The sequence below is a fragment of the Homo sapiens genome, chromosome 5, assembly GCF_000001405.40.
Source record: "Homo sapiens chromosome 5, GRCh38.p14 Primary Assembly".
In the NCBI taxonomy this organism is placed as follows: Eukaryota; Metazoa; Chordata; class Mammalia; order Primates; family Hominidae; genus Homo; species Homo sapiens.
The window spans coordinates 136,365,901-136,375,353 of NC_000005.10; positions in this window are offsets into that span (position 1 = coordinate 136,365,901).

The window sequence follows — 9,453 nt, forward strand, 5'->3', positions numbered from 1 at the left end:
ATAGAAGTAGTTTTCTTCCGTAAGTCTCATCACCACACCACACTTTGTCTTCTGTGAGTGATGTATCTTCCAACTTTACTATTTTGGTTCATGATCTTTTAGCATTATCTAGGATCAGGAAGAGGTCAGTGGTGTAGAACAAGTCTCACATTAGTAACAAGACTAAAAGGGTTAGCTTTCATTTGCAACTTTCCATTTTTTGAAACGAAATTCTCAATCCAAAATACCATTTCCCCAACAGTTCCCACGCTCACCAATTGCTATGTAACCAAATGGTCTATGATTCTTAAACACTGAGGTACTTTAATGACATCATTGGAAAGAAACCGTCTTAACTGAAATATTGCCTGTGTATGAAAAACCACAGTTGCTTCTACAATCTACCTGGGTTACTTACCAATAAATCAGAGTGGTTATTTTCTGAAATCAACTCACAGCTTAATAACTGACACTCTGTAAAACTGTTGCTGTGTGCACTTGCAATACTTAGGGCTAAGGAGTTGCTTATAATGTATTGTACACATGACCATTCTAGTTTTACATCCAAATGAGATTGCATTGGTTTGTTAATATGCTACTAGTATTTTCTCTGAAGATAACATGATATGTGGGAAAAGACCTTGGGATTTTGATTCACTTATTAACTGTGTGACCTTAGACATAACACTTAACCTATTGAATCTCAGTCTTCTCATATGTGAATGGTTGGTAATAATAGGGTTTATAATGCCTTTTACCAATTGTCGTGGTGATAATTAATTGAAAAATCATGTACAAATAACTCCAAAGAGCTGGCATTTAAGGTGTGCATGATAAGTTTGAAAGTTCGTTTTAATTTTTTAAAAATTTGAGACAGGGTCTCACAGTGGTACAATCACGGATCACTGTAGCCTTGACCTCCCAGGCTCAAGTGATCCTCTTGCCTCACCCTCCACAGTGGCTGGGAATACAGGCACATACCATCAGACCTGGCTAATTTTTAATTTTTTAGTAGAGACCTTGTCCCACTATGTTGCCTAGGCTGGTGTCGAAATCCTGGGCTAAAGCTATCCTCCTGCCTCGACCTCACAAAGGGGTGGGATTACAGGCATAAGCCACAATACTCGACCCAGTTTGAATGTTCTTTCTCCTCTGCTTGCTCAATAGAAGTTAAGGTAGTTCTCTAGTTGTGGGCATGGTAGTGTGAACCTGTAGTCCCAGCTACTTGGGAGGCTGAGGAATAAGGATCACTTGAACCCAGGAGGCTGAGGTTGCAGTGAGCTGAGATCATGCCACTGCACTCCAGCCTGGGTGACAGAGTGAAATCCTGTCTTGAAAAGCAAGCAAACAAACAACAACAACAACAAAACCCTCCAAAAAGACTGGCAACAAATGCATTTTATTCTTATAAGCCTCCACGCAAGTTTTACAATATTAATAATTATGTTTCATTGGATAAAATACCATTCTAAAAAGAAATTTTCTAATATCAAGGCTTTCTTAAAAAAATTACAGGCTTGAAGGATACAGAAATTTTATTTTTTATTAGAATCAGAAACAAGTAGATTTAATGCATTTGAATAAAATGCTAATGAATTAAGAGCTCTTTAGTATTGCAATGAAGTGGAACAAAATATAAATGTGAAGCCAATAAAAGTGTCTTACACAACCACAAAGTTAGAAGATTATCTCTGACAAGTGATAATATCCTTTTGATTGGGATCCTCATCATCATGATTAGTGAAGTAGTGTAGAATGAGATAACTCTTAATTATACAATACTTTTAAAAGAATACTGGTTTATGGCTTTTAGTTAATGACGGAATTGAAGTCTCATTATATTCTGTTTTTAATAAACAGCCAAGAGTGTATTTTCATAAAACTCTGACATGAATAATGTCCTTGTTTTCAGTATTGATAAGCTCATTAAAAAATTAAACCATATTTCAGAAAGTTGTGCCAATGATGGTATGACAGTCAAATGTATATATATATATATATTTTATATCTCTCATACACACACACATATATATATGTATGAGAGAGAAAAGAAATGAGTTAATTGTTTTATAGATGTATTCATTAATTGAAGACAAGTCAGAGTCAGGCCAGACAGCTCTTCAAAAGTGATAAGATGACATTTTGCAAAGGATCCAATCTTCGGGATCCTTATAATTGGAGTACTTTATCATTTCCAGAGCATATCATACACAGATATTTGGTTCAATGGGGCAAATACTTGTAATCTGAAAAAATGTTGCATCCATATCAAATTATCATTTTCAATATATAAAACACAGAAGTAATTAGGACTTCACTATCAACAGTGAAAGTTCAGAAGGTGCTCAGCTTTTGGACTAGAGGATGTCTAAATTTCCTGCATAAGGACTTGAGTTTTGCATCTCCCAGTCTCAACCCAACATAGGCTCACAGTAGAATTTAGTGGTTAAGAGTGTGTACAGCTTCTAGTAAAATTTTCTGTTTTAATTCCAAATTTCCTATTCCCCAAGTGTGTCCCTAAGTTTTATCACCTGTGAGATGAAAGTAACAACAGTTTCTCACTTGTAGAATTATAGCGAAGATAAAATGAGACAACACACATGAAGAGCTTACAGCAGAGCCTGGCACATAGAGCTCAGCCTATGTCAGCTTTCACTATTGCTTAACAACTCACCCTGTGACTGAACAGTGAACATACTATTGATCTGTGGTTCTCAGACTTTGTGTGCTCCAGTATCGCCTAACTAGCCTGTTAAAAATATAAACATACAAATTTCTCGTTCCCTAGAAAAATAAGCACTTTATCTCCTTAAGAACCTAAAGTGATTCTGATGCAGATGATTCATAAATCACACTTTTGGGAAACACTGTTATTGTCTATTGAATGACTAGGTCGTTTTAGAAACCAAAGCCATGAATATGAAGGTTTATTTCAAATAAATGAATCTTTTGGGAGACTCATTCTCCCTTTTCTCCCCTCTCAGAATGTTCCTTAAGTCTATGCAACTTTGTGTGGTTATTAGTCAGGTCTGGCTCTTTCTCCTAGATAGAAATATATTGAGCAGACTTCTTAGGCATTAGATTTAAGGAATTAATGTAAATCAGTTTCCATAGAAAAATTCTGGCTGAAATTGCTAGAAGCCACTATACTGAACCCACTTAAAAAGTAGATCTCTCTCATTTTGATTAATGACAGCATCACCGTAAATCTTCTTTAGAGTGAGCACAAAATCTGGGGAAAAATTTTGTGCTGTAGACTGTTCTCAAGTAATGAAAAATTGTGTTTTTATTTACAAACAGGGAGTGACTGGAAATAGCACTATGTCTCAAAGTGATGATAAGAATGATGCCAATTTAATTCTATTCCTATTTATGTGTTTTATGAAAAATTATTCATCTTTCAGTTTGGGCTATAACTGCAGATTTCAATGGTTATGCTTTTACAGGATTTATGTAAGCTATAATTGGCTTGTAACCTATTAAAGGTTTCTTACAAAAGCAAACTGAAACCCATATGAAATATTTATTGATTGCTATTGTTTAAATGTCTCCTCCAAAACTCATGTTGAAATTTAATTATCATTGTAATAGTATTAAGAGGTGGGACCTTTAAGAGGTGATTCATTTACGAGAGCTTCACCTTCATAAATGGATTAACACCTTTATGCTGGGAGTGGGTTACTGGGGGAGTCCAGCTTCCTTCTCTGTCTCTTGAGCTTACTCTTTTGCCTTTCACCAAGGGACAATCCTTTGCATGTGGTGCCTTCTGCCCTGTTATGACACAGTAAAAAAATCCCTCACCAGATGTGGCCCTTGATCTTGGACTTCACAGCCTTCAGAATTATTAGCCAAATAAATCTCTTTTCTTTATAGATTACCTAGTCTGTGGTATTCTATTACAGCAGCAGAAAACAGACTAAGACATTTGTATTCTGCCTTTAAAAAAAGATTTAAGATGGTGTGGTCAGAATGGAAATCCTCCTTCAATGAAAGAAGTGTGCAGGAATGGCAGTCAGTGGATAGCCTCCAGCTGCCATATCCTTCAGGGTGTGCCTCAGGTACAAAGAGCCACCTTTCCCAGGGCCACACCCTTTGCAGGATAGACTGTATTTTGTGACTGAGCAAGGTGAGAGAATACAGACCATTTCAGGAACATGCTTACGTGCAATACTCTTTCCAGGGCTTGCTGCTATATTGCCCACATTATCATAGCTTGATTTCTTCCTCTCCCCAATACTGCTTCCTCCCTTTTCCTTTTAAAAATGTTGAACCTTAATGAATATTTTTCACCTTAAACTCTATATCAGTGTCTACTTCTGGAAAACCTAACCTGTATTAATTGATATCAGGAATGGATTGAGCAACTAGGTGATAAAATGGGATGTTTGAGCTGGATTGCCACCATGTAGTTGGCGCTGACCCTATCACTGGTCATAAATGGAGCACAGATGGCCCATGAAACAAGGTGATGGTCCATTTAAGTTTTCACCTGTGGTGAATTGGGATGTTATGCTTGTGGAAGAGAATGCATTGGTAAGTGGAAAATATGCATTTGAAACTCACCAGAGAAATAATAATGACAAGCACAATGGCTTTGGATAGCTATCATTAAATGCCACCGATATTCGGCAGAAAGATGAGTAGCTGAAGATGCGTAATAGGCAATAGAATTCCAGGTGTAAAAGCTGGAGGACATCTTGGTTGCAAAGAAGCTCTTAAAAACTCTGTTGGGAGAATATAGAAAGTCAAAGTCTCAGCCTGAGAAATCATATTCAGAGTGACTGAATTTCACAGATAACCAAATGGCCATCTAAGGATGGTCTGTCATGTCAGATTATCACCATGTTTAAGAAAGTCCAGAACTCTAAAGAGATAGAGATATCTACATGATGTCTCAGAAAATTTTGTCTCCCAGTTGACCCTCAATCACTAGAGTGATTGGTTTTAAGACCCCCAAATATACAAAATCTGTTCGTACTCAAATCCTGCAGTCATCTCCATGGAATCTGCATATAGGAAGTCAGCCCTTCATATATGTGGGCTTCACATCCTCTGAATACTGTATTTTTGAGCTATGTTTTGTTGAAGAAAATCTATAATACATATAAGTGGACCCACATAGTTAGAATCTGTGTTGTTCAAGGGTCAACTGTACATCTGAACCCTCTGAGCCTGAAGACATGGTCCATCCATCCATATTAAAAGCTAGCAGCTGTCACCTCGTGGAATACATTATATAGGTCTCACCCCCATGAGGTACACATGCCTGCCCAGAGTCTATACTACATTCCTTCCTGCCCACAAGGCCTGTAACTAAGGTTAAGTTGTACTCAGGGTCTGAGTTGACATTAATATCCATAGAGCCATAATATAGCAGAGGATGTTCTAAACCTGATTAAGTCAGGAAAGGGACAATTTCCCAAAAATGCTATAGGAACTAGCCAACATGTATTGGAAAAAGCCAGGGGAGTATATTTGGAATGGGATTCTGAGGATGCTTGACCAAGGGGCCCTGTAATACAAATTAGATGGTGAAGAGTTTATTGACTTGGTAATGTTCTCTTCAATTGTAGGATTTCACATCTTGGCACGGTTCTGGGGGATGGTGTGAACTTACTCCTAGAATGGTCTCTGGAAACATAAAAAAGGAATAGTTCACATCACACAAAGCTGGAGTGACATAATTTTCATGGCAAAAGATGAAGGAAAGAAATGAAAAGTTTATAGATGTGAGGATGCTAGAATCAATATATCCCGTTTGGCTAGAAGGTCCCTGAGGTGATCATGTTCATGGGGCCCAGAGGACACATCTTTTTACCAAAGGCATCATAAATGCACTGACTAAATGTCCACCAGGATCACTGAAATTTTCATTCATGGTTCTCTTTAAGCCAAGGTTGATGGTGGGATAGTCTGTTACAGAACTTACTCACTGGTAACAATGGGCATCAGAGAACCCTGAAAAAATAGAGGCCAGGTGGAGGTGCTTGAACATCCTAAACCAGACTGTTGCAATTATTGTAATGACGAGCAAGATTGGAGGGTAAGGAAACATGACTCTCAGAGTTATGAAAATGGTTAATAGAATATAGCATCCCTAGGGACAAAAAGAGGCAACTGACTAGGATATTATTCAGTTTGTGCCTGTAGAAAAATCAGGAAAGGATGACTGGCAGGCTGAGGATGTCATTCTGATAAAAAGTTGTAATTCCACACCATAAATATGTATTACTAAATGAAAAGGCCAATCTGAAAAGGCTGTATACTGTATGATTCCAACTATATGACATTCTGGAAAGGGGAGAGCTATGCAGATAGTAAAAATATCAGTGGTTGCTAGCAGTTAGGGGAAGGGAGAAATTAATAGGAACATCACAGAGGATTTTTAGGGCAGTAAAACTGCTCTATATGATACTATAATTAAAAGTAGATACAGGTCAGGCGCAGTGGCTCACACCTTTAATCCCAGCACTTTGGGAAGCTGAGGTGGGCAGATCATGAGGTCAGGAGATTGAGACCATCCTGACCAACATGGCGAAACCCAGTCTCTACTAAAAATACAAAAATTAGCTGCACACGGTGGCACGTGCCTGTAATCCCAGATATTCGGGAGGCTGAGGCAGGAGAATCGCTTGAACCCGGGAGGCAGAGGTTGCAATGAGCCCAGGTCATGCCATTGCACTCCAGCCTGGGCAACAGAACGAGACTCCATCTCAAAGAAAATTAAAAAAAAAAAAGAATGGATACACAGCATTACACATTTGTCAAAACCTGTAGAGTGTACAACAACTTAATATAAACTCTAATGTAAACTATGGACTTTGGGTGGTAATGATTTTTCAGTGTAGATTCAGTGATTGTAACAAATGTACCGCTCCAGTGTGTGGTGTTTATAACAGGAGGAGACTATATGTGTGGGGATTGGGGGTATGTGGGAGCTCTCTGTATTTTCTGTTAAACTTCACTGTGACCCCAAAATTGCTCTAAAAATATAGTCTATTAGAAAAGTCATCATTCCTTGCCAGTTTGTGGATCTGATCTTGTTTTCAAACCTGGAACGGATTGAAGAGATAGACCAATTCCTAGGAGAAAGAACCCTAGGTTCTTTACATGGTAATACTTTCTTCAGTCACTCCCCAAAGGATTGTCAGTGGTAGGCAAAGATGTCAGTCATAGTTTCATCAAGTACTAGTGCGAGAATCACATGTGGGCCTTGAGGTTCTGGAGCACAGCCATCCATTTGAAGTGGAGAATTATGCACCATTTGCAACAACTTCTGGCATACTACTGGATCCAAGTAGAGATGGATCACCTGACCATGAGAAACCAAGTGACTATATGTCTAGAACTGTCCATTATGAGCTGGGTCCTGTCAGATACACTATGTTATAAGGTCAGCTAAGCCCAGGCACAATTAGTTATAAAATGAAAGTGGTATATCTAGGACTGAGGGCTGGGTAGACCAGAAAACCCAAGCAAGCTTGAGCATGAACAGGAGGCTCCAGTCCACGTGGCACCCACCACTGTGGCACCAGCATACCTTCCTCAGCTCATATCTATGGCTATGTGGAGAATTTACTACACCAGGTAAAGGAGTACAAAAACCCTGAGTTTGGCGTATAGATAGGTTGGCTTAGTATTTGGGTACAAGTCAAAATGAATGGCAGGTATTCAAATCTCATTCAATCAATCTCATTCAGAGATGGCTTCGAAAGACCAGGAAAAACTCCCAAGGCAGAGAGATGGACCTGCTTATTTCCTTTCATAGAAGGAGAGCTAACTTGAGGTTAAATTCATACAAACTCATGGACAGTGATGAATGGCCTGCCCACCTGGTCATGAACCTGGAGGGAGAAAGAATGGAACACTGGTGACTAGAAAGTGAAGTAGAGGCATGTGGATAGACATACGTGAATGGATAGAAATTGTGATGATCTTTGTATCACATATTAGTGCCCACCAGATAGCATATGTCACGGAAGTGACACAACCGATTAGACAAAGTGACCTACCCAGCCAACATCAGCCGGCCTGTCATCAGCCACACCAGTGCTGGCCAAATGGATACATAAATGACAGCAGCAATGATGAAGGATTTGCATGGCTCAAATAACCTGGACTCCCACTTACAAAGGCTTATCTAGCTATGGTCGCTGCTGAATATTTAATATGTCAGCAACAGAGACCAATGTTAATATGACACCATTACTCACTCAGGAAGAACAACTGGCCTCTAGATGGCAGGTTTACAACGCTGGGCTCATTTCGTCCTGCAAGGGTTAGTGGTTAATTTCACGTATCTCACAGGAATGGACATGCATTCTGAGTATGAGTTTCCCTTTCCTGTACAGATGACCTCAGCCAGCACTAGTATCCAAAAGTTTATCGAGTATTTGATTCACTGGCATGGGATCCTGCATAACTTTGCACCAGACCAAGGGATGCACTTTATAGCAAAGGAAGTTCATGAGTGAGTCTGTAACCAGATAATTCACTGGTCATATCATATACTCTGCTCAGAAACTACTAGCCTGATAGAGCATTGGAGGTTCAGAGGTAATACTCTACACAGACAGATTGCCATTATGTAAAATTCAGTATTTGGATCAAATAAATGATCTTTATATGGTGCTGTGTCCCTGAAGGAAGACTACATGGACACAGGAATTAAGGAGTGAAAACAGTAGTGGTCTCACTTACTATCACTCTCAATGACCCATTGAGGGTCGTTGTGATTTCTTTCCCTGTAATTCTGGGTTCTGCTAGATTAACAGTCCTGGTCTTCAAAGAGGATAACACTTTCCCAAGAGGACATAGCAAAAGTCCCATTGAATTACAAGCTTTAGTTTTCACTTGGGTACTTTGATCTCCTTGTTTACAGGGACCAAAAGCAAGAAGAAGTCACTATCTTGGCAGGGTAATTGACTCCAATCATTAAGAGGAGGTGGTGTTATTGCACAATAGAGGCAGAGAGGAATTTGTGTAGAACTTAACCCATCCACTTGGTCCTAACTTAGTACTCCCTTTCCCAATTTTGACTGTAAATTGATTGGCCGAGTGACTGCAGCCAAGGAGGATGGTGGCCAGTGACTCAGGTCCTTAGGGCTGAAGGTCTGAGTCAGACTAACAAGAAGGCAGCCAGGCCAGTAGAAGTGGAAGCTGAGGGTTAATGGAACTTAAAATGCCTAGGGAAGAAAGGAGATAATGAGTATTAGGTGGAACCCTGAGACCCACTCCAGCTTTGGGCACTACTGTTTATCTCACCAACGTCTCTCTTCTAAGTCTCCCTTCAGGATGAGAGGCTCGCCAGACATCTGGAGGATCTGATCTTCCATCCCATATAGAAACATGGTTCTAAGCCTAAAAGAAGGGGACTGTGGTAGACTCTGATGTACCTCCCAGCTTCCCCCGCGAGGAAGGACCTGCTGCTCAGTGGAGGTAATTGCATCGCAGATCATCTCCATAGTTCAGCAA